The sequence below is a fragment of the Homo sapiens genome, chromosome 20 (genome assembly GCF_000001405.40).
Source record: "Homo sapiens chromosome 20, GRCh38.p14 Primary Assembly".
Lineage (NCBI taxonomy): Eukaryota > Metazoa > Chordata > Mammalia > Primates > Hominidae > Homo > Homo sapiens.
In genome coordinates this window covers 43,812,703-43,838,526 of record NC_000020.11, presented here as the reverse complement: position 1 = coordinate 43,838,526, position 25,824 = coordinate 43,812,703, and the positions used below count along the sequence as shown (strand labels likewise).

The 25,824-nt window shown below is 46.0% G+C and overlaps 2 long non-coding RNA genes across 3 annotated transcripts in view, besides 2 other annotated features; one reads left to right on the top strand and one right to left on the bottom strand.

Moving 5' to 3' along the window:
- Window positions 12,799–12,908: an enhancer, noted in NCBI's record as "active region_17915". NCBI's record gives its function as "activates an Ori minimal core promoter by ATAC-STARR-seq in GM12878 lymphoblastoid cells {active_cell/tissue: GM12878}" and the evidence as "EXISTENCE:reporter gene assay evidence [ECO:0000049][PMID:35858748]".
- Window positions 13,602–17,849, top strand: LOC105372625 (uncharacterized). 2 transcript variants are annotated; one of them, XR_936740.4, is made up of 3 exons: window positions 13,602–13,807; window positions 14,322–14,449; window positions 17,332–17,849. It is a non-coding gene; the product is annotated as an uncharacterized LOC105372625 (long non-coding RNA). The 2 variants fall into 2 exon arrangements; XR_936739.4 differs by having other exon boundaries at window positions 13,603–13,807; window positions 17,329–17,849.
- The window catches only part of LOC101927200 (uncharacterized), a 91,977-nt gene continuing 83,784 nt past the window's right edge, over window positions 17,632–25,824 (bottom strand). Inside the window, exons 3-4 of the long non-coding RNA XR_936741.3 lie at window positions 24,948–25,062; window positions 17,632–17,719 (exon numbers count right to left, since the gene is read on the bottom strand). This is a non-coding gene — a long non-coding RNA (uncharacterized LOC101927200). The remainder of the gene's footprint in view (window positions 17,720–24,947; window positions 25,063–25,824) is intronic.
- Window positions 23,193–23,806: an enhancer, noted in NCBI's record as "H3K27ac-H3K4me1 hESC enhancer chr20:42443361-42443974 (GRCh37/hg19 assembly coordinates)". NCBI's record gives its function as "activates a minimal SCP1, AML or CMV promoter by ChIP-STARR-seq in primed H9 embryonic stem cells {active_cell/tissue: H9 hESC(primed)}" and the evidence as "EXISTENCE:reporter gene assay evidence [ECO:0000049][PMID:30033119]".

Genomic DNA, 25,824 nt, shown 5'->3' with positions numbered 1-25,824 from the left:
AGGCCACAAAGGTGGGCAGAGGCCTTGTGTAGCGCTGCACCTGCCGGAGAGAACTCAGGCACATCACTTCACTTTGGAGGCCTCAGTGTTCCCACCTATTGAATGGGAGAAAAGTCCCTGCCCTGGCCCAGAGGGAGTCTCCAAATACCCAGAAGTCAGCCTGTGTGAGGTGCACTCCCTGCGCTAGATATATCTGGGTCTGCCCTTGGCTCAGGCCTCATCCCTCCCTCCTCAGACCAAGCAGCCAGCACCTCTTACCTGGGCTCCCTGCAGCCACCCACAGCCCCTACCTGCCCCCACTTGCAGTCCACACTGGAGCCACAAGGCGCTTACACATCCTAAGTCAGCCCGTGTCACTCCTCGCCCCCACCCCTCCATGGCCCCCCATTTCCTAACCCGGGGCTAAAGCACCCTCATGTTCCAACACTACTTCTCAGCTGGCCAGGACCACCTCGCCCCGCCCTCCCCACATACCTGCTCCCCCTTCTTGGGGCAGGAGTGGCAGGAATGGGAGTCCTCTTTCTGGTCCACAGTCCACAGTCCACAATCCTATGGCACTTTTCCCCCACTCTGAGCCTCAGCACACTGTTCCCCATCTTCCACATCTGCTTCCTCCCCAGCCTTCAGTTCTCAACCTAAAACGTCAGCCCCGCACAGAGGCCTTCCCTAACTGCCCTCTCTACAGTGCCCCCCAACACCCTGGACCTTCATTGCATGGATGACAATGGGTAATTAATGAATGACAGTCAACCCTTCGACAACACATGTTTCAACTGTGCGGGACCACTTATACGCAGATTTTTTGTGATAAAATTACACCAAGTGTGTCTGCCTCTCTTACCTCCCCTTCCACCTCCTCCACCTCTTTCGCCTCTGCCACCCCTGAGAGAGCAAAACCAACCCCTCCTCTTCCTCCCCAGCCTAAACATGAAGACAACGAGGATGAAGACCTTTGTGATGATCCACTTCCACTTAATGAATAATAAATAGACTTTCTCTTCCTTATGATTTTCGTAATAACATTCTCTTTTCTGCAGCTTTATTATAAGAACACAGTATATAATGCATAAAACATATAAAATATCTGTGAATCAAGTGTTTATGTAATCAGTAAGGCTTTGGCCAACAGTGAAGCGGTTAGTTAAGTTTTAAAGTTATGCAAGAATTTTCCACTGCACGGGGTAAGGGGTCGGCACCCCAACCCCCGCATTGTTCAAGGGTTCACAGTAATGAACTTGCTGCTGCTTTATTGTCTGTGTCACCACCGAGGTCCCTGCTGTTTCCCCAGTGCCTGAGACAGTGCCTGGCACATAGCAGGTGCTCAGTAAATATTTGTTGAACGAACGAATGAATGAATGAACAGCTAGGGGTGGTTGTGTGTGGTACCCCCATGAAGGCTTTGATGGGTGTGAGGAGTGGTTATTTAGAAATAGCACAAAACAAGCTATTTGCCTGGAGGCAGGTTCTTTGCAGCGTGGCCTCTGTCTAACCCCAGGCCCCAGCTCTGCTGACCCTTCCTCATTACCCTCCTAGTGCGTCCCAGGAACACTCACTCCACTCCTCTCAGCCACGCTGACCAAGTGTGGTCAAGCCATGAGCAAAGCGTGTTTTGAAACCAGCATAGGCCAGGTGCAGTGGCTCATGCCTGTAATCCCAGCACTTTGGGATGCTGAGGCAGGAGGATTGCTTAAGGTCAAGGGTTTGAGACTACCCTGGGCAACACAGCAAGACTCTGTCTCTACAAAAAAATAAAAATAAAAAAATTAGGCAGGTGTGGTGGCATGCACCTGTAGTCCCAGCTACTTGGGAGGCTGAAGTGAGAGGATCGCTAGAGCCCAGATGGTCAAGACTGCAGTGAGCCATGGTTGGACCACACTGAACTCCAGCCTGGGTTACAGAGCAAGACGCTATCTCTAAACAGAACAGAACAAAACAAAACAAAACAAAAAACAGCGTAGAACAATCACCACGCTGACCTCAATTTGTGAGAATGTGATGAGTTCTGTAACACAGATTTGCCACCTCCTTCAATGCCACCAGGCTGAAGAATGCCACCTTGGGTGGTCTGAGCCTCCATTGCCTCTATTTGTAAAATGGGGATAATTCCACGTACCTCCCAGTGTCACAAGACTGAGACGTGAGAACATATGAGAAGCAACTTGCACATTGCCTGGTGCGTGGCAGCCCTCGGGGCCACGTTAGTCTCTCTCCAGTCCCATCCCCTTCTCAAATCAGGGAAATTCTAGAATGCAGACTGTGTCTCTTGGTATTCGGAACCAATTACCAAGTTTCTGCGGGTGTCTGGCTACCTCTCGGGGACATCAAGAGTCTTAATTAATTATGATCTGAAAAGGTTTGATGTTCCAGGAATAAAAAGGCATGAGGAAGCCCAGACTATTTTCAGGAACATTAATTATTTAATGGACATTACTCATAGAAAATTGGGACTGGAAAATGTAAGTTTAAGATGGGAGCAATATGATTACTTTTAACCCTAAATTCCATTCACTCTCACCCATCATCAAGAACAGGCTGTTGGTCTGGCAGACAAAAGAGAAGGTTCTAGTCTGAGCTGTGCCATGGATTTGCTGGGTGACCTTAAGTAGGTCACTGTCCCTCTCTGGCCTCAGCTGCTGCTTCTCTTTTTTTTTTTTTAATATAATAATTTTCTTTCTTTTTGTGAGACAGAGTCTCATTCCATCACCCAGGCTGGAGTGCAGTGGCACGATCTCAGCTCACTACAACCTCCACCTCCCTAGTTCAAGTGATGCTTGTGCCTCAGCCTCCCAAGTAGCTGGGATTATGAGCACGTGCCACCACGTCCAGCTAATTTTTTTGTACTTTTAGTAGAGATGAGACTTCACCATGTTGGCCAAGCTGGTCTCGAACTCCTGACCTCAAGTGATCTGCCCGCCTAGGCCTTCCAAAGTGCTGGGATTGCAGGCATGAGCCACTGTGCGTGGCTGGCCTGTTTCATTATCTGTTAGGGTCTGTCTGAGATGGTTTCCCAGGAGCCTAAGCTCGGACAAGAGTGCTTCAGAAATGTCCCATCCTGGGCCCCACTTCCGAAGTTCCCATTCAGTGGGTCTGGGGTGGGCCCCAGAATCTACATTTTAACAAAGCTCACGAACCTGCCTCTAGAGATCTTTGGGCCACACTTCAAAGAGAATTGGCTGTGACCCTGGAACATCCACGGAGGACCCTTCCGAGGAGATTTGCACATGAAAGATGTCCATTTTTATTAGCTGCTTATGTGCTGAAAGGACATATTAAACTAAATTTAAATGAATTCACCCAGTCCTTGATTTTCCTCTTCATCAAAGTTCATGTGGTTAATTCTGGGGTCAAAACATAAAATGTCCTCCTGTAATTAGCTGCTAATCAGTTCACTACAGTGATTCCCCAGAGACGTCATAATTCCTGTCCACAGGAACTGGAAATGAAACACGCACATAGCTCAGCTCTCTGCTGATAATCTACATATAAGGATGTCCTGAACACACAGAGAATTTACACCTGAAAATATGTGAGCTGGAAGTCATCCATCCACCCACACATAAATTCATTTATTCATTCATTCACCCGTCTACTTATCCATCCACTCATCCATCCATTCATCCATCCATCATTCATCTATCTGTCTATCAGTTCATCTCTCCATCCATCCATCCATCCATCCAAGAAATGCTTACTGAGGACCTGCTATATCCCAGGTATTGGAGGCACAGCTGGTAAACAAGACAACAAAACAAACAGAGATAATTTGGTCTCTACCTTCCTGCATCTGCAGTCTTTTGAGGGCATTCGACATCAAACAAGTAAAACAAACTAAATAATTACAAATTGTGGAAAATCCTGTGAAGGAATTCAATAGGTCTCTGAAATAGAGAATAGTGGGGTGGGAGAGGAAGAAACCTACCTTGCGTGATCAAAGGAGACTTCCTTGAGGAGGTGATATTAAAGCTGAGACCTAAAGGATGAGAAGGCACTACCTGGAACGCCTTCCACACAGAAGGAACAGTAAAAGCAGAGACTCTAGGCATGAGCTGCATGGAAACCTGAGATGCTTCCTAGTCCGACACGCCTCCCAAGTGCCCTAGTTAAATGATCTTCTAGCTTCTGCTCACACTCTTTACGTGACAAGGAACTCACTGCTTCTAGTAACTGCCTCCCATTACTGAGGATTTTGATAGGTCAAAGTTCATTCTCATAAGAACTCTGTAATGTTCACTATCTGGTCCAGGTTATGACCTTAAGGCCCTCCAAGTTCCTTGAAGTGAGTCCATAAGACACCCTTGGGCAGCTGAAAACAACACTGATGCCCCAAGTAAGCTGCCTCTTTGCCTGATGCACCTCCCCAGCTCTTCAGCCAAGGCCCACAGGCCATCCTAGCTGCTTTTGATATCATCTGTTCAATGACCCCATGTTCTCCTTATCATGCGAGTGTAGAACTGATGAGATCTGATCCAGATTGCAACAAGTGGGACTCTCACCTCCTTTATTCTGATTATTAAACCTCTATTAATGCAGCCCCAGTCACCCCAATCTTTTCTTCCTTCTTCATTGATCAAGCAGTCATCAGTACCCAGAGAAATATTTGGCTCTTGTTTATTTTTTAACTCTTCAAGCTCCACTTATACCTGTCCATGCATAGCTCAGCTGACCCTATGAACAATGCTTGCCCAGAAGATTTGAGGCCTGAATTTCCCCTGCTCCTGAGGCAGCGTGCCCTTGTAGAAATCCAGGAATGGCAGGCATCATATCCATGTTTCTCTGCAGAGTACCCCTAGGACCTGGAACAGTGCCTGGCACATAGCAGGTCCTCAGTGCCAGGTGAATGGCTGGAGATGAGCAATTGAAGTAACAGCCAATCCGGGCTCTGATCCCGACTGCCTCTTACCAGCTGGGGAGTTTCTCAGCATCTCTGAGCTTCAGTTTCTTCACCTGGAAGTGGGTCTCATAATTATATTCCTAAAAGCTGGGTGTGGAGAGAGCCGATGACAAAGCCTGGCACATAAGGGGGCTGGAGAAAGACCGTCCTGGACCTGGGCCTGGCCTTCTGTGCACAGCTCACAACCTCAGGTCCCTTGTTGGTGCCAAGCAGGGATCTCTGGCTCCTGGGGCTCAGCGGGTTCCGTGGTGAGAACAGTAGCTAACATCTACTGAGCACTCACCATGTGCCAAGGTGCTTGGATTTACTCATTGCATTCTCACAACCAGCCCAATGAGACGGGCACAGCCTATATCCCCATTTTACAAATGATGAAACTGAGGCACAAAGAGATGAAGTTCGATGGCCATTGAGTGGCAGAGCTGGATTTCAACTCTAGTTTCCGGCTCCAAGCTCTGCTCAGCCTCTTGATAACTGTGCCCTGGGGCCTCATCTGGGGTCTTCTTCCCTAAGGGGCTGAGTAAAGGTGCAGAGTAAAAGCCTCTGGCCCACAGGGCTTACTGGAGCTGACTGTGCCACCATCCCACCAGCCCAGAGCACAGGCAGGGGGACAAAGGTGGGCCTCGTGGGGGGATCTGGAAAAGATGTTTTTCATGACCTGATGGCATCCTGTGCCTGGAATATTTTTGTTCATTCATTAAATGCTTTCTGTGCACCCAACTCTGTTACATGACGCCACAGGTATGCTCTTGCTTATGCTCATAGCAGTCACGTGAAGGAACCATCTCTTGCTCCCATTTTATAGTTAAGAAATCTGAGGCTCCAAGAGCCAAAGGATTCCATGCTTGCTGGATCTTTCCATCCTTTGTACTCAGATCATTCTGCCTCAGTTCGACACAGGGCACTTGGAAGGGAGGAGGTGTGGGGAGGGGGTGTGCAGGAGGAGGGAGAGAGAATAGGATGAAAGTCAGACAATGCGGGTAAGAGAAGCAGGAGGCAGCAGGGGCAGGCATGACATTAGCCAGGTGTCGGCTATTCAGGCATCGGCCCCGTGAAACTCCAAGCAGATTAGTTAGCCTCCCTGAACCTCAAGTCCTCCACGTGCAAAGCAGAGATTATACTAACAACTCTTCATTATCAAACGAGGAAACGGAGCAGAGATCCAGGCAGCAAATGGGAACTCAGTAATTTTCAGGCTGGTTTTGGGTGGGGTGAGGGGGACAATGAGAAGACAGGGGAAGCGTTTACCATGGTCCAGGTGACCACAAAAGTATAGGCAAAGGCTGGGCAGCTTCAGGGGTGGTAGTAGAGAGTGGAGGTGGTGCCTTGAGGTTGTAGAGCATCTGGGGGTTGCAGGGGTGAAGAGGATGGATGTTGGCATGTGACCTGAAATTGTAAAAGGAATTGACATTTGGATTGTGAGGGATTGTGAAGCAAGAGGGTGGGATTTGATGGCAGTTGTAGGAGAGTCTATGAATGCATTGGGGAGACAGTGGGAACCTGTCAGGATGGCTACAAGGGTGTGGGTGACAGCAAAATGTGAGGGGAGGTGACAGGACAGAAATGTGGCAATGAGAGGAGTCGGTGAGGTGATGCTGGGAAATGCAAGGTAAAGAGGGCCGGCAGAGAAGACCATGAAGATGGCGGACGGACTGAGCAAGCTGGTGTCTCTATGGGGATTGCCCTGTGTCCTGCAGAGGCTCCCGACCTCCTAACCATCTCCACCTGGCAGTGGGAGAGGGCGCGGAAGGGGGGTTTTCTCTCTGAGAATCACAGCCCTGTGTGTGGCCAAAGCATCTTTACGAACATTCAAGCCCAGCCCCTGTGTATTAAACATGTCTCCAGTGAGGTCCAGAATAGGGAAGGGACTTGCCCAAAGCCACACAGTTGGTGGGTGCTGGAAGCAGGATCCACCCAGGTCTGACTTGCAGGCCCACACACATCCCCACCGGCTGCTGCCGCCTCTGTGTTGTCTGTGCTTAGCTTCGAAGCTGAGGTTCACGACGATCCCCAGGGACAACTCTGCTGTCATCCTAAGCCCTCCATGACAGTTATCAATAGCCACCAGCAACCCCTCCTCCCAACTTGTTTTTCTATTGATGCCATGCTGAGGTCACCGACTAATAGGAAAAAACTTTGCTGTTTTCCCTTAAAAATATTCACCAAATGATTTTTTTTTTTTTTTGAGATGGGGTCTTGCTGTCACCCAGGCTGGAGTGCAATGATGCGATCATAGTTTACTGCAGCCTCAACTTCCCAAGCTCAAGCAATCCTCCCACCTCAGCCTTCCAAGTAGCTGAGACTACAGGCATGTGCCCCCACACCCAGCTAATTTTTTTAATTTTTTGGAGAGATGGGGTTCCACTACGTTGGCCAGGCTGGTCTCAAACTTCTGGGCTCAGACAATCCTCCCACCTCAGCCTCCCAAATAGCTGGGACTACAGGGATGAGCCGCTGTGCTCAGCCCACAGAATTTTTTTATTAGTATCATTATCACTATCTCTCACAGTTTGGGGACTGATTGGGTTCAGCTGGGCGGTTCTCCGCTCTCTCCTGCAGTTGTGCTCAGACAGGAGCTGGGGCTTGGAATCATTTAAAGGTTCACTCATGCATTTCTGATAACTGAGGCTGGTTGTCATCCAAAACGCCTACACATGGCCTCTCCTGGTCACCTGGGCTTCCTCACAGCATGGTGGCTGGGCTCCTAGAGCAAGTGTGCCTAGAGAGGGAGAGCCAGGCAAGGCTATATTGCCTATCATGACCTCCCTTTGGAAGACACATCGCGTCATTGTGCCATACTCTGTTGGTCAAAGCAGTTGCAAAGGTCTGTTCAACTTCAAGGGTTGGGGACATAGACTTCACCTCCTGATGGGGTGTATCAAGGTCACCTTGTAAGAAGAGCATATGGGATGGGAGCTATTGTTGCAGCCTCCTTTGGAAAGTACAATCCACTAGAGTTGGGAAAGAAAAGATCACTAGTAGCAGCAAAGCTTTACCTAAGAGTTTCTTATGTGTCAGGCACGGGGCTGTGATCTCTTGCCAGCTCCTCACAACAACGCTTAGGGGTGGACACTTGATTGCCCCCATCTTACACATGAGAAACTCAGAGTTTGGAGAGTTTAAGTGGCCCACCCAAGTTCACACAGCCAGTGAATGGCAAAGCTGACTCCCGGCAGACTGCAGAATCCACTCTTCCCAGTCATGCTGCTGGGCTGACTTAACGTCAGAATTGAAGCCAGACCCGCACTGGGCATGGAAGGAGGGAGGAAACTGACATTCACAGAGCACCTGGACATTGGGCATTTTGCAAGTGTTAACTCATCAGTCTCCATGAGCTCCCCCTGTTACCCACCTAAGGATCAGAGGAGAGGAGTGACTTGTCTAGGGGCACCCAACCTGTGAGTTTTAAACCAGGTCTGTTTGAGGCCAAACCTTGCTTGTGCAACACCCAGGGCCATCTCTGAGAATAAAGGCCAGAAGCTTGGGGGCAGAAATGAGGACAGATGGTGCCAGAGAGGGGCTTGGGAGCAGGTGGTCTTGGGGCAGAGTAGACAGAAGCCTCAGGTAGTCACTGGTTCAACCCCATCTTGCCTAATCCCCAAGACAAACAATGAAGTAGTCCCAGCTGCCAACAGGGCAGCCTCTCGTGTCATGTCCTTCCTACATATGAGGAAACTGAGGCACCAGAGGGAACTTGCCCAAGATCACAGTTTGGAAAAGCTTTAGCTACTGAGGCGTGGGGGTCATTGCCTTGGTGGTAGACTAGACTAGGTGGGTGTAATGTCAGGAATGGGGTAAAAAGTGCAGTCAGAGAATATAATGAGGAGGTGCCAGGGGGCGGAGCCAGGGCAGACATCAGGAAAAAGGGTTGGAGGTCATTATGGGGGCCTTGAATGCCAAGCTAAGAAGCATGGCCTTTATCTTGTAGGCAGGGGAGTGGCAATGGGCAGAAGCAACAGTCCTGGAGTTACTTTTCAGGGTGAAAGTGGTTCCAAGGCCAGGCACAGGCACAATGCAGAATCCAGACACAGAGCAGTCACGTTAGCCACATCACACGCCACCCAGGACACAGAGGGAGCAGGCACCAGAGCAGGCCCCCAGCACCCTGTGCAGTGTGCTATTCCTCCCCGTCCCATGCCACCATGTGGTCCCCACCTCCAGGGTGAAGATGCCTCTCTGTAGCCAAGATACAGTGTCCTAGGAGGGACTGAATTCACTAATTCAGCCAGAATACGTGGCATCACTTTCCCACATCAGGAATGGATGTCTCCAGAAGCTTGGTGATATGGTTTGGCTGTGTCCCCACCCAAATCTCATCTGGAATTGTAACTCCCACAATTCCCAGGTGTCATAGGAGGAACCTGGTGGGAGGTGATTGAATTATGGGGGTGGGCTTTTCCTGCACTGTTCTCGTGATAGTGAATGAGTCTCATGAGATCTGATGGTTTTAAAAACAGGAGTTTCCCTACACAAGCTCTCTCTTTGCCTGCCACCATCCATGTAAGATGTGACTTTCTCCTCCTTGCCTTCCACCATGATTGTGAGGCCTCCCCAACCATGTGGAACTGTAAGTCCATTAAACCTCTTTTTCTTCCCAGTCTCAGGTATGTCTTTATCAGCAGCGTGAAAATGGACTAATACACTTGGCTTCCTTCTGCAAAGCTACCTCACTGTCTGACCTGACGTGGCATGTGGCCTGTCTCTGAACCCAGCTTTCAGGCCCCAGACTTAGAAATTACCTCCATCTTCACCTCCACCTGAGGACATCACATTAGGGGATAAAAGTTGAATCACATCTGTTATTCCAGGAATTCCTCACAACAACCATCAAGTAGGTGTTGTTGCATTCCCATTTAACAGAGAGACAAACTGAGGCAGAGAGAGACACATGGCTCACCCCAGCTGCCTTGGCCAACAGAGCCAGGGCAGCCTCTCTCCTGCAGGATGTGGAGGAAATCCTCTGAGGACTTGGGCAGTGGTGGTTGCCCTATTGTGGACCATAGGCAGGGATGACTTGTTCTCCCATGGGTACCTGATGACTGTCTTTCCTCCTTCTCCAGCCTCCTTCCCTTTTCCTCCCTCTTCTCCACCCCCTTGGCTACTCTATCAACTGCTTTCTCATTCTGTCTGCTTTCCTTCTCTTCTCACTACACCTGGAATCCCCCACTGGGGCTTTCAGCAGAACCCTCATCCCTCACTCCTGCTCCAAACTCCACTGGGGCTCCTCATTGCCTGATGGACAGAGTCCCAGCTCTTCAGCTCCTGGCCTGTCATGAGCGGCCATCCCGTACCCTTTTGGCTTTGGCTGTCCTCTGTTTCAGCTGCAGCTGCCTAGTCAGGCCACTCTCCTCCAGGCTCTATGCCTGAGCTCATGATGTGCCTTTGGCTAGACGGCTACCCCTCCCTTGTCCACCTGGAAAACTCTTCCCTGTCCTTCAAGAGCTACCTCGGATGTCCCCTCTGCTTCTATAAGGCCTCCTGCAGGGTATCACCTATGTCAGGGGTCCCCAGGAACACTTCCATGATTCTCTGGAGGACTCACAGGACTCAATGCAGAGTCATAGTAATGGCTGTGATTCATGACAGCAAAAAGATATGAAACAATCAGCCAAGGGAAAAGGCACATGGGACAAAGTCCAGAGAAAACCAGGTGCGATCTTCACAGAGTCCTCTCCCAGTGGAGTCACACAGTATGCACTTCATTCTCCCAGGGACAGGTGTTGACATGTGTGAGGTGTTGCCTACCAGGAAAGCTCATTAGAGAGTCAATACTCACGGCTTCTACTGGGACAGGTCATATAAGCACACTCTGCCTAACATGTACTGAAATTCCAGACTCCCAGAAGGAAAGTAGGGGCTCAGCACATGCCTACAAACAGTTTAGGCACAGTGAGCCACTATTATCAGCTACGGGAATGGCAGAATCCTCCCAAAACCCAAGTACCCAGACACCAGCCAAGGGCCAACCTTGCAAGTAGACCTTTCTGAGGATGCAGCCTCAGGCCAGCTGTGTTGACTCTCCTCCCTGCTATGCCTGATCCATGCCACACTGTTAGAAATGCACTGATCACACCATCTGGGCTCACATTATCACTACTGCAGCAGTAGCCCTAACAGGTTAGGCTTACTCCTGGGCCGGCCAGCTCACCAGACTGAGCTCACCTTTTTTAAGAATGTCCACTAGCACAGGTGCTTAATGAGTGCATTGAATAAATTAACTTAAAAATGTCCACAAAAAAAACTCAAAATAGAATTACTCTATGATATGGTTTGGCTATGTCCCCATCCAAATCTCATCTTGAATTATAGCTCCCACAATTCCCACGTGTTACGGGAGGGACCCAGAGGGAGGTAACTGAATCATGGGGGTGGGTCTTTCCTGTGCTGTTCTCATGATAGTGAATAAGTCTCAAGAGATCTGATGGTTATATAAAGAGGAGTTCCCCTGCACAAGTTCTCTCTGTTTGTCTGACACCCGCTGTGTAAGACGTGACTTGCTCCTCCTTGCCTTCTGCCATGATTATGAGGCCTACTCAGCCATGTGGAACTGTGAGTCCGTTAAACCTCTTTCCTTTATAAATTATCCAGTCTCAGGTATGTCTTTACTAGCAGCATGGGAACAGACTAATACACTCTATGATCCAGCAATCCTACTTCTGGGTATGTACCCAAAGAATGGAAAGCAGGGTCTCCAAGAGATACCTGTATACCCGTGTTCACAGCAGCATTATTCCAAATAGCCAAAAGGTAGAAGCAATGCAAGTGTCCATTAACAGATGAATGGATAAACAAAATGTGGTCTAGACATACAATGCAGTATTACTCAGCCTTTAAAAGGAGGGAAATTCTAATGCATGCTACAAAATGGATGAACCTTGAGGACATTATGCTAAGTTAAATAAGCCAGTCACACACACACAAGATATTGTATAATTCCATATGAGGCACCTCAAGTAGTCAAACTCCTAGAGATGGAAATTAGAATGGTGGTTGCCCGGGCTCAGGGGAGAGAGGAAAGGGAATCATTATTTAATGGGTACAAGAGTTTCAGAACTGCAAGATTAAAACGGTTCTGGAGACTGGTTGTACAATGCAAATGTACTTAACTCTACTGAACTATACATTTTTAAAAGGTTAAGATGCTACATTTTATGTTATGTTTATTTTACCACAATTTTCTTTTCAAATGAAGCACGACTCTCCCTGGAGGCAGGTGTCTGTTCTGTTTGACCTAGAGTTCCAACAATCATGTGAAAATGCACTAAACTACAGTCCAAGAGCCGAACATGCCTTTTATTCACAATCAGCAGAGAAGAGGGTTCATTAGATATCTAATGATTGATTTTTAAATTCTTCTTGAAAGACCTGATGTGTATATTCAGAATCAGTTTGCCCTGCTATCCACTAAAAATGACTTATGACAGGAATTCATCCATAATTGCTATCAATGGAGTCGGCTTGTAAGAATATGCCAAGCATTTAATTGACTTTTAAAAGAATAGCTACAGCAAGCTAATTAAATATTACGTTAGGATATGTGTTAATTGATATTTAATGAGGATGTCAATTGATGTCTAACTAGCCAATATGTCTCTTAAAATATGTCAATTAGGTACCCAAAGATCCTTTTCAAAGGGAATAGGAGTTAAACACATTTTGGATGTAATTTGTTAATTTTTCATAATAACAAATCACAACCCTCCCTGCTGACTTTCTCTGGATCGTAGAGCCATTTGTGAGCCACCTTGCCTGGTCTGGAAACAGGAAACACTGCCTGTTCCACATGAACACTCCCCGCAAATTTGCACATGTGGTAGCATAGAGAGAGAACTGCGCGTGCCCGAGGACTTTCCAGACCTCCCCTTTCCTTCCACCAATCATCCGCTAATCCCAGAATCTACCCCCTCAACCTTTTTTAATGAAATGACTGAAAGCCAGCACAGGGAGACAGATTTGAGCCGGACTCCTGTCTCCTTGTTAGTCGACTTAAAAAGCTTTTTGTTTCTCAAAAACCCAGTGTCATAGTATTGGCTTCTAGTGCATTGGGCAGCAAGCTCCTTTGGCTTGGTAACAAACACAATAGCCTAAGTGCCTCCATGAAAGTGATCTGGAATTCACTCCTGTAGCCAGGTCTGCTCCACCACCTATCACTCCCCAGGATGGAGGGAGAGTGCAGGGGGAGAGCAGGAAGTTTGAGGCAATGGCCTCAGTGAGCATGACCCTAATAACTCTAGGGCTACAGCATTTTAAGGTCCCACTGACACCACTGCAGGATAATCAAGTAAGACAGCTTCTAGAACAGCCTTTGTGCAGACCATGGATCACTGTAAGATGCTACCTGTCCTCACAAATAATTAGACAGCTCATGGTGTCATGAGAAAGGGCTAATCAGGTTTTCATGAGATCTCAGAGGAATGGGACAGAGTCAGAACAGCCATGTGGTCACGAGCATGGGTTTCAGAATCAGACAGGGCAAAGTTCAAGTTCTAGATCTTGCTAGCTAAATGCCCTTGAGCACCTTTCTCAACCTCTCAGAGGAAGCCGGAAAATAGACATTAAGTCAGTTTGTCCCACCCTCTCTGCTGGCAGAGGTCAGAGATAAAACAGAAGGGTGGCTTCAGCTTGCCCAATATCAAGTGAAGATCCCAATCAGCAAAGAGCTCAGCACTTAGGATCAATCAGCAAAGAGCCTGGCTCCTCTCGCTTCCAAGTAGAAGGGAAAACCATCAGCAGCTCCAGCCGCTGTTCTAGGAAATGGTTATTCAGTTACCAATAACAACAGTTGCTATGGAGACAGGCGGTCCAGCCCGCCAGCCTGGAATTGCTCTTAGGCCAGGGCCAGATTAGCCACCTCCACACCCTTTCCAAACCAAGTGGCAGCCTGAGCCCCAGTTCTCCTTCAATTACCTGATCAAGGTGTTTTTCCACTTGATTTTTCCTTCTTCTTCCTATAAGAAGGTCCCTCTATTTGAAAGTTAGTTGAGATACAGGGCAAAGGCATTGAAAGTCTTGTGGACTGTGCAATCCCTAAGTCTTTGTAAAGTCTGAGGACAGCTTATGTTGGGGTGGGGTGGTAAACGAAACAGCTGTGTTTTTGCTCAGGGCTGTAGCAGCACCAGTGAATCCAGAACCTCTTGAGAGGTCTGTGTTGGGGGTCAGGCTCCATGCAGAGGCCAGGGGCAGACTGGGATGTTTTCGGATGCACGGCTGGAGATAGCGCACCAGGAAGGATGGTGAGGGCCACACTTAGAGAGCACTCGGTTTCCCCAAGCCCTTCAATACTGCTCCTCTAGAATAGGTGGCTAAATTAGAAAATACATCAGAATGTTAGTGGTGAAAGGAACCAGAGATAAGTGCTCTTCACAGCGAAGAAACTGAAACCCTTCAAGGGGATGGGACTTAACCACAGTGACCCCAATCTCATACCCAGGAATCTCAACTCCCAGTGTGAGTTTTTCCCACCACAGCGTGAATCCAGGTTGTTCCTGCAATGTTATGCAATGTGAGTGGAGCTTTCTAACAATAAGAGCACCATCTATGGTCTGGCTGTCTGCTGAGGTAGGTAGTGAGTTCCCCGTCACTGGAGGTATACAAGCAGAGGTCAGATGACCTTTGGGCAGAGTGTTTTAGAGAGGGTTTCAGTCTTGGGAGGCAGTCAGGACTGGATGACCTCAGATCCTGCATTGTGTGGACTCCATTAATTCGACAGTGAATAGAGGTGTCTCCACTCATGATCCAGATCCAGTCCAAACAAATGATCCAGAATTGCTTCAAACAGCAGCATCCAGTTCAGCTATCTGTCCAGGAGCCTGCGCGAGGCCTGGCTAGAGGGCTACTCAAAAACCTACCAAAAGAGCACCCACATGTGAGAGATGGAGGCAGGGAGGAAAACAAGAGCTTTTCCTAAAGTCCCAGTGGGAAAAAGACACAGACAGAAGGCCAACCCAATAGTGCTCATGGTCTTATGTCAAGTGTAGAAAACAGTATAATATTGACCGGGCATGGTGGCTCATACCTGTAAGCTCAGCACTTTGGGAGGCCAAGGCAGGTGGATCACTTGAGGTCAGGAGTTCGACACCAGCCTGGCCAACATAGTGAAACCCCATCTCTACTAAAAATACAAAAATTAGCTAGGCATGGTGGCAGGCACCTATAATCCCAGCTATTCAGGAGGCTGTAGCAGGAGAATCACTTGAACCAAGGAGGTGGAGGTTGCAGTGAGCCAAGATTGTGCCACTGTACTCCAGCCTGGGCATGAGAACAAGACTCTGTCTCAAAGAAAAACAACAACAAGAACAAAAAGAAAACGGTATAATAAATATCTGACCTGGGCTCCAGCCTGTGTGCCCTCAGCTTCTCCAGTGTGAACCTGAGAAAATCTCCCAATGTTCCCAAAGCCTGGTTTCCTCGTGTGAACAACCAGATACTCATAGCTGCTAATAAAGTGGATTTCTTATGACAGTTAGGAAAAGGATACAGGACCGCGCCTAATGCAATGCTGATAGTAACTGATGGTTATAGGTTTGCTCCAAACTAATGAAGAGGGGAGGCAAGAGGGAGAAGAGATGAAACGAGATTGACCCTGAGTTGATAATTAAAGCTGAAGTCCACAAAATCAAAACTATTTTCCTGGCCGGGTGTGGTGGCTCACACCTGTAATCCCAGAACTTTGGGAGGCCGAGGCAGGTGGATCACTTGAGGTCAAGAGTTTGAGACAAACCTGGCCAACATGGTGAAACCCCGTCTCTACAAAAAATACAAAAATTAGCCAGGCACGATGCCTGTAGTCCCAGCTACTTAGGAGGCTGAGGCATGAGAATCACTTGAACCCGGGAGGTGGAGGTTACAGTGAGCTGAGATTGCGCCACTGCACTCCAGCCTGGGTGACAGAGTGAGACTCCATCTCAAAAAAATTTTTTAAAAAAACCTATTTTCCTAATAATACTAGCATGTCATTTGCGTTTCTCCCTTTCCTTCTCCCATGAGGGTACTGTGGAGTTTTCTAGAGGCCACACAGCATGTGATGTCACAAAGATTAAATGAAAAAGCAGATATGAGAATCCAGCTGCCCATTAAGCCAGGCATTCAAGATTTACAAAATGTAATACAATGTCTTTTTCTCACTAATTTTTTTGTTTGGGAAATATTGGGGTTTTTAAATTAAGAATGTATTTAACATTTATTGGGATTGCTATTAAGAAAAACAGAAAACGTGTGTTGGAGTGCATGTGAAGAAATTGGTACACATGCACACTGTTGGTGAGAATGTAAAATGCTCCAGTCACGATGGAAAACAGTGGGACGATTCCTCAAAAACAGAAACATCAGAATTACCGTGTGATTCAGCAATTCCGCTTCTGGGTAAACACACAAAAGAACTGAAAGCGGGGTCTCAAACGTATCTTTGTACACCAATGTTTGCATTCACAACAGCCGAAAGGTGGAAACAGCCACAGCCTCTTGTCAATGGAGGATCACTCGGTGGTGTACACATACAAGGAATATTCAGTTTCAAAAAGGAAGGCAATTCAGACATGGGCTACAGTATGTGGATGAATCTTGAGGACATTATGATAAGTGAAATAAGTCATTCACAAAAGAACAAACATGACATCATTCCACTTATATGAAATACCCAGAGTAGTGAAAATCATAGAGACAGAAAGTAGAACAGTATTCATAAGAGGCTGGGGGAAGGCGGATGGAGAGTTGCTAATGGGTACAGAGTTTCAGTGTGAGATGATGAAAAGTTTCCGGAAATGGATAACAGTGATGGTTGCACAATGGGAGTGTACTCAATGCCATTGAACTGTACATTTAAAAATGGTTAAAATGGGGTGAGGCACAGTGGTGCATACCTGTAATCCCAGCACTTTGGGAGGCCAAGGTGGATGGGTTGTTGCCCACTCCAGCTTGGGCAACAGAGCAAGGCTGTGTCTCAAAAAAAAAAAAAAAAAAAAAGAAGAAGGTTAAAATGGTAAACTTTCTGTTATATATATTTTACTACAATAAAAATGAAATAAAAGCAAATCTAATGGAGAACGTATAATTGTCATCTGAAAGCTTATAGTAGACATAAAGTGTCAAAAACAAAAAAGTTACTGGTGTTAACATGTAATAGGATTATTGTTTTTTTAAATGAGTTAATAAATATGTTTAAGTGTCTGAGTTTTAACGTCTAATACGGTTAATATCAATAGATGCACCTCAAATAAACAAAAGCCCCTTGAGGTCCTCAATAATTTTTTGAAATTATAAAACATTCCTAAGACCAAAAAGTTTGAGAATGGCTACATGATATCGATCTCTCTCTACTTCTGTAAATGTTTTTAATTTTCCATATGAGAAAAGCTTTTAAGTTTTTAAAATAATACTAATTGACTATTCTCTTTCCTTCTACCTGTCTGGGCAAATTGATTCACCTTGATGGAATTCAGCAGCCTCATCTGTCAAAGGAGCAGAAAATTCCAAAGCATGATCCTATGAATCAAACCTGACACCCACAGACACAGGAGCTCCCTCCTCCCCAACCGCCAAACCCTCAAGCTTCCACAGAGATCTGAGCCTCTCTGGGTTGAGGAAGAGAGGGACTGTTCTCCCGTATTAATCAGATCCCATTAATTTTTCAAAGTAGACAACAGCCCACTTACTCATCTGCTGTGGAGCCTCATCCATAATTGATCCTGAACTGCACTTACCCTAACAGACCGCGCAGATGCCGGCTGCACGTAGAGCTCTGGGAGGGTTGTCTACTGATGAGCCTACTCCAAGTAGTGAAGGCACTCACAGCCATGGCACGTGGTAACTTCAATGGGCCTGACACTTTTCCTTCCATCAAAAACAACAAGGAAGAGGAAAGGAATGACTCCCCAGATGCTCTGAGTGGTTGTTCTGAGGTCATTTCTATGTACAAGTCAGCTTGAGGGGAATTAAAAACAATTGGCATAAGCCAAACTCATACCTGTGTCTTGATCCTTTTGGGCTCCTAGAGCAAAATACCATAAATTGGGTGGCTTATAATTGAAATTTATTTCTCATCGTTCTGAAGGCTGGAAGTCCAAGATGAAGGCACCAGCAGATTTGGTGTCTGGTGAGGGCCCACTTTCTTTTTTTTTTTTTTTTTTCATCTTCACATTTATTTGCATTTTTTTTTTTTTATACTTTAAGTTTTAGGGTACATGTGCACATTGTGCAGGTTAGTTACATATGTATACATGTGCCATGCTGGTGCGCTGCACCCACTAACTCGTCATCTAGCCTTAGGTATATCTCCCAATGCTATCCCTCCCCCCTCCCCCCACCCCACCACAGTCCCCAGAGTGTGGTATTCCCCTTCATGTGTCCAGGTGATCTCATTGTTCAATTCCCACCTATGAGTGAGAATATACGGTGTTTGGTTTTTTGTTCTTGCGATAGTTTACTGAGAATGATGATTTCCAATTTCATCCATATCCCTACAAAGGATATGAACTCATCATTTTTTATGGCTGCATAGTATTCCATGGTGTATATGTGCCACATTTTCTTAATCCAGTCTATCATTGTTGGACATTTGGGTTGGTTCCAAGTCTTTGCTATTGTGAATAATGCCACAATAAACATACGTGTGCATGTGTCTTTATAGCAGCATGATTTATAGTCCTTTGGGTATATACCCAGTAATGGGATGGCTGGGTCAAATGGTATTTCTAGTTCTAGATCCCTGAGGAATCGCCACACTGACTTCCACAATGGTTGAACTAGTTTACAGTCCCACCAACAGTGTAAAAGTGTTCCTATTTCTCCACAACCTCTCCAGGACCTGTTGTTTCCTGACTTTTTAATGATGGCCATTCTAACTGGTGTGAGATGATATCTCATAGTGGTTTTGATTTGTATTTCTCTGATGACCAGTGATGATGAGCATTTTTTCATGTGTTTTTTGGCTGCATAAATGTCTTCTTTTGAGAAGTGTCTGTTCATGTCCTTCGCCCACTTTTTGATGGGGTTGTTTTTTTTTTTTTCTTGTAAATTTGTTTGAGTTCATTGTAGATTCTGGATATTAGCCCTTTGTCAGATGAGTAGGTTGTGAAAATTTTCTCCCATGTTGTAGGTTGCCTGTTCACTCTGATGGTAGTTTCTTTTGCTGTGCAGAAGCTCTTTAGTTTAATTAGATCCCATTTGTCAATTTTGGCTTTTGTTGCCATTGCTTTTGGTGTTTTGGACATGAAGTCCTTGCCCACGCCTATGTCCTGAATGGTAATGCCTAGGTTTTCTTCTAGGGTTTTTATGGTTTTAGGTCTAACGTTTACATCTTTAATCCATCTTGAATTGTTTTTTGTATAAGGTGTAAGGAAGGGATCCAGTTTCAGCTTTCTACATATGGCTAGCCAGTTTTCCCAGCACCATTTATTAAATAGGGAATCCTTTCCCCATTGCTTGTTTTTCTCAGGTTTGTCAAAGATCAGATAGTTGTAGGTATGCGGCGTTATTTCTGGGGGCTCTGTTCTGTTCCATTGATCTATATCTCTGTTGTGGTACCAGTACCATGCTGTTTTGGTTACTGTAGCCTTGTAGTATAGTTTGAAGTCAGGTAGTGTGATGCCTCCAGCTTTGTTCTTTTGGCTCAGGATTGACTTGGCGATGTGGGCTCTTTTTTGGTTCCATATGAACTTTAAAGTAGTTTTTTCCAATTCTGTGAAGAAAGTCATTGGTAGCTTGATGGGGATGGCATTGAATCTGTAAATTACCTTGGGCAGTATGGCCATTTTCACGATATTGATTCTTCCTACCCATGAGCATGGAATGTTCTTCCATTTGTTTGTATCCTCTTTTATTTCATTGAGCAGTGGTTTGTAGTTCTCCTTGAAGAGGTCCTTCACATCCCTTGTAAGTTGGATTCCTAGGTATTTTATTCTCTTTGAAGCAATTGTGAATGGGAGTTCACTCATGATTTGGCTCTCTGTTTATCTGTTGTTGGTGTATAAGAATGCTTGTGATTTTTGTACATTGATTTTGTATCCTGAGACTTTGCTGAAGTTGCTTATCAGCTTAAGGAGATTTTGGGCTGAGACGATGGGGTTTTCTAGATAAACAATCATGTCGTCTGCAAACAGGGACAATTTGACTTCCTCTTTTCCTAATTGAATACCCTTTATTTCCTTCTCCTGCCCGATTGCCCTGGCCAGAACTTCCAACACTATGTTGAATAGGAGCGGTGAGAGAGGGCATCCTTGTCTTGTGCCAGTTTTCAAAGGGAATGCTTCCAGTTTTTGCCCATTCAGTGTGATATTGGCTGTGGGTTTGTCATAGATAGCTCTTATTATTTTGAAATACGTCCCATCAATACCTAATTTATTGAGAGTTTTTAGCATGAAGGGTTGTTGAATTTTGTCAAAGGCTTTTTCTGCATCTATTGAGATAATCATGTGGTTTTTGTCTTTGGCTCTGTTTATATGCTGGATTACATTTATTGATTTGTGTATATTGAACCAGCCTTGCATCCCAGGGATGAAGCCCACTTGATCATGGTGGATAAGCTTTTTGATGTGCTGCTGGATTCGGTTTGCCAGTATTTTATTGAGGATTTTTGCATCAATGTTCATCAAGGATATTGGTCTAAAATTCTCTTTTTTGGTTGTGTCTCTGCCTGGCTTTGGTATCAGAATGATGCTGGCCTCATAAAATGAGTTAGGGAGGATTCCCTCTTTTTCTATTGATTGGAATAGTTTCAGAAGGAATGGTACCAGTTCCTCCTTGTACCTCTGGTAGAATTCGGCTGTGAATCCATCTGGTCCTGGACTCTTTTTGGTTGGTAAACTATTGATTATTGCCACAATTTCAGCTCCTGTTATTGGTCTATTCAGAGATTCAACTTCTTCCTGGTTTAGTGTTGGGAGAGTGTATGTGTCGAGGAATGTATCCATTTCTTCTAGATTTTCTAGTTTATTTGCGTAGAGGTGTTTGTAGTATTCTCTGATGGTAGTTTGTATTTCTGTGGGATCAGTGGTGATATCCCCTTTATCATTTTTTATTGTGTCTATTTGATTCTTCTCTCTTTTTTTCTTTATTAGTCTTGCTAGTGGTCTATCAATTTTGTTGATCCTTTCAAAAAACCAGCTCCTGGATTCATTGATTTTTTGAAGGGTTTTTTGTATCTCTATTTCCTTCAGTTCTGCTCTGATTTTAGTTATTTCTTGCCTTCTGCTAGCTTTTGAATGTGTTTGCTCTTGCTTTTCTAGTTCTTTTAATTGTGATGTTAGGGTGTCAATTTTGGATCTTTCCTGCTTTCTTCTGTGGGCATTCAGTGCTATAAATTTCCCTCTACACACTGCTTTGAATGCGTCCCAGAGATTCTGGTATGTTGTGTCTTTGTTCTCGTTGGTTTCAAAGAACATCTTTATTTCTGCCTTCATTTCGTTATGTACCCAGTAGTCATTCAGGAGCAGGTTGTTCAGTTTCCATGTAGTTGAGCGGCTTTGAGTGAGATTCTTAATCCTGAGTTCTAGTTTGATTGCACTGTGGTCTGAGAGATAGTTTGTTATAATTTCTGTTCTCTTACATTTGCTGAGGAGAGCTTTACTTCCAACTATGTGGTCAATTTTGGAATAGGTGTGGTGTGGTGCTGAAAAAAATGTATATTCTGTTGATTTGGGGTGGAGAGTTCTGTAGATGTCTATTAGGTCCGCTTGGTGCAGAGCTGAGTTCAATTCCTGGGTATCCTTGTTGACTTTCTGTCTCATTGATCTGTCTAATGTTGACAGTGGGGTGTTAAAGTCTCCCATTATTAATGTTTGGGAGTCTAAGTCTCTTTGTAGGTCACTCAGGACTTGCTTTATGAATCTGGGTGCTCCTGTATTGGGTGCATATATATTTAGGATAGTTAGCTCCTCTTGTTGAATTGATCCCTTTACCATTATGTAATGGCCTTCTTTGTCTCTTTTGATCTTTGTTGGTTTAAAGTCTGTTTTATCAGAGACTAGGATTGCAACCCCTGCCTTTTTTAGTTTTCCATTTGCTTGGTAGATCTTCCTCCATCCTTTTATTTTGAGCCTATGTGTGTCTCTGCATGTGAGATGGGTTTCCTGAATACAGCACACTGATGGGTCTTGACTCTTTATCCAACTTGCCAGTCTGTGTCTTTTAATTGGAGCATTTAGTCCATTTACATTTAAAGTTAATATTGTTATGTGTGAATTTGATCCTGTCATTATGATGTTAGCTGGTGATTTTGCTCGTTAATTGATGCAGTTTCTTCCTAGTCTCGATGGTCTTTACATTTTGGCATGATTTTGCAGCGGCTGGTACCGGTTGTTCCTTTCCATGTTTAGTGCTTCCTTCAGGAGCTCTTTTAGGGCAGGCTTGGTGGTGACAAAATCTCTCAGCATTTGCTTGTCTGTAAAGTATTTTATTTATCCTTAACTTATGAAGCTTAGTTTGGCTGGATATGAAATTCTGGGTTGAAAATTCTTTTCTTTAAGAATGTTGAATATTGGCCCCCACTCTCTTCTGGCTTGTAGGGTTTCTGCCTAGAGATCCGCTGTTAGTCTGATGGGCTTCCCTTTGAGGGTAACCCGACCTTTCTCTCTGGCTGCCCTTAACATTTTTTCCTTCATTTCAACTTTGGTGAATCTGACAATTATGTGTCTTGGAGTTGCTCTTCTCGAGGAGTATCTTTGTGGCGTTCTCTGTATTTCCTGAATCTGAACGTTGGCCTGCCTTGCTAGATTGGGGAAGTTCTCCTGGATAATATCCTGCAGAGTGTTTTCCAACTTGGTTCCATTCTCCGCATCACTTTCAGGTACACCAATCAGACGTAGATTTGGTCTTTTCACATAGTCCCATATTTCTTGGAGGCTTTGCTCATTTCTTTTTATTCTTTTTTCTCTAAACTTCCCTTCTCGCTTCATTTCATTCATTTCATCTTCCATTGCTGATACCCTTTCTTCCAGTTGATCGCATCGGCTCCTGAGGCTTCTGCATTCTTCACGTAGTTCTCGAGCCTTGGTTTTCAGCTCCATCAGCTCCTTTAAGCACTTCTCAGTATTGGTTATTCTAGTTATATATTCTTCTAAATTTTTTTCAAAGTTTTCAACTTCTTTGCCTTTGGTTTGAATGTCCTCCCGTAGCTCAGAGTAATTTGATCGTCTGAAGCCTTCTTCTCTCAGCTCGTCAAAATCATTCTCCATCCAGCTTTGTTCCGTTGCTGGTGAGGAACTGCGTTCCTTTGGAGGAGGAGAGGCGCTCTGCGTTTTAGAGTTTCCAGTTTTTCTGTTCTGTTTTTTCCCCATCTTTGTGGTTTTATCTACTTTTGGTCTTTGATGATGGTGATGTACAGATGGGTTTTCGGTGTGGATGTCCTTTCTGTTTGTTAGTTTTCCTTCTAACAGACAGGACCCTCAGCTGCAGGTCTGTTGGAATACCCTGCAGTGTGAGGTGTCAGTGTGCCCCTGCTGGGGGGTGCCTCCGAGTTAGGCTGCTCGGGGGTCAGGGGTCAGGGACCCACTTGAGGAGGCAGTCTGCCCGTTCTCAGATCTCCAGCTGCGTGCTGGGAGAACCACTGCTCTCTTCAAAGCTGTCAGACAGGGACATTTAAGTCTGCAGAGGTTACTGCTGTCTTTTTGTTTGTCTGTGCCCTGCCCCCAGAGGTGGAGCCTACAGAGGCAGGCAGGCCCCCTTGAGCTGTGGTGGGCTCCACCCAGTTCGAGCTTCCCGGCTGCTTCGTTTACCTAAGCAAGCCTGGGCAATGGCGGGCGCCCCTCCCCCAGCCTCGTTGTCGCCTTGCAGTTTGATCTCAGACTGCTGTGCTAGCAATCAGCGAGACTCCGTGGGCGTAGTACCCTCCGAGCCAGGTGTGGGATATAGTCCCGTGGTGCGCCATTTTTTAAGCCGGTCTGAAAAGCGCAATATTCGGGTGGGAGTGACCCGATTTTCCAGGTGCGTCCGTCACCCCTTTCTTTGACTCGGAAAGGGAACTCCCTGACCCCTTGCGCTTCCCAGGTGAGGCAATGCCTCGCCCTGCTTCGGCTCGCGCACGGTGCGTGCACCCACTGGCCTGCGCCCACTGTCTGGCACTCCCTAGTGAGATAAACCCGGTACCTCAGATGGAAATGCAGAAAACACCCGTCTTCTGCGTCGCTCACGCTGGGAGCTGTAGACCGGAGCTGTTCCTATTCGGCCATCTTGGCTCCTCCCCGAGGGCCCACTTTCTACTTTATAGATGACACCTTCTTGCTGTGTCTTCACGCGGTGGAAGGGGTGAGAGGTTTCTCTCAGGGCTTTTTTGTAAGAGCACTAATTCCATTGATGAGGACTCTGCCTCCATGAACAAATCACCTTCCAAAGGCCCTACTTTTTAATACCTTGGGGCTGAGGATTTTAACATACAAATTTGCGGGGAACATAAACATTGAGACCATAGCAGGCTGCCAGGTCAACCACCCAGGTCCATGAAGACCTCAGCAAGTTCAGCGCCAACACCCCTATAATCACTTTGAACCTCATGCCCTCTACCTGAGGCCACATACTTCTCACTCCATCCCCCACTCCAAAATAAACGGCAGCTGGATTGAATATTTTAATGTTTAGAAAAAGAATTGGACCAGGCATGGTGGCTCACACCTGTCATCCCAGCACTTTGGGAGGCTGAGGCAGGAAGATCGCTTGAGACCAGGAGTTCAAGACCAACCTGGACAACATAGCCAGACGTCATCTCTACTAAAAATAAATAAATAAATACAAACTGGCCAGACATGGTGGCTCACGCCCGTAATCCCAGCATTTTGGGAGGCCGAGGCGGGCAGATCATGAGGTCAGGAGATCGAGACCATCCTGGCTAACAGGGTGAAACCCCATCTCTACTAAAAATACAAAAAAATTAGCCGAGCATGGTGGCAGGCACCTGTAGTCCCAGCTACTCGGGAGTCTGAGGCAGGAGAATGGTGTGAACCCAGGAGGCGGGGCTTGCAGTGAGCCGAGATTGCGCCACTGCACTCTAGCCTGGGCAACAGAGCGAGACTCCGTCTCAAAAAAAAATAAAAAAATAAAAAAATTATTAGTGGAGCACGTTGACACTCACCTGTAGTCCCAGCTACTTTGGGAGGCTGAGGCAGGAGGATTGCTTAAGCCAGGGAGATTGAGGCCGCAGACAGCCATGATTGTACCACTGCACTCCTGTGCAATAGAGCAAGACCCTGTTATAAAAATAAATACATCAATAAATAAATTAGTTAAAACCCTTAAAGACAACCTAAAATGAACATTTATCTGATGAATAAAGACTTTGTAGTGAAAAAGAGAAAAGCAGCCCCTGGCATTGGGAAGCTTACCTGGCACCCATGGTTGGGCCCTGGTGTTTTCTTGTTGGACATAAACAATCTTGCAGAACACCAACATCAGACAGGGCCATTATGTAACTGCACTGGAGCAAGACAAAAGCTAGACCACTCTGTACTCATATCTGAAGCGTGTTACACCTGTAATCCCAGCACTTTGGGAGGCCGAGGTGGGTGGATCACCTGAGGTCAGGAGTTTGAGACCAGCCTGGCCAACATGGTGAAACCCCGTCTCTACTAAAAATGCAAAAATTAGCCAGGTGTGGTGGCGCACACCTGTTATCCCAGCTACTTGGGAGGCTGAGGCAGGAGAATTGCTTGGACCCAGGGGGTGGAGGTTGCAGTGAGCCAAGATCACGCCATTGCACTCCAGCCTGGGCAACAAGAGCAAAACTCTGTCTCAAAAATAAATAAATAAATAAATAAATAAATAAATAAATAAATATAAATTATTATCTCACAGCTCAGGAGACTAGAAGTCTGAGATCAAGGTGACTTCAGGTCCACGTTTCATCTGAGAGTAGTAGGAAAGAATGTGTCCCAAGCTCCTCTCAAGATTCTTGTACTTTCTTGGCTTATAGAAGCATAACTCTAATCTTCACATGGTGTGCTCCCTATGTG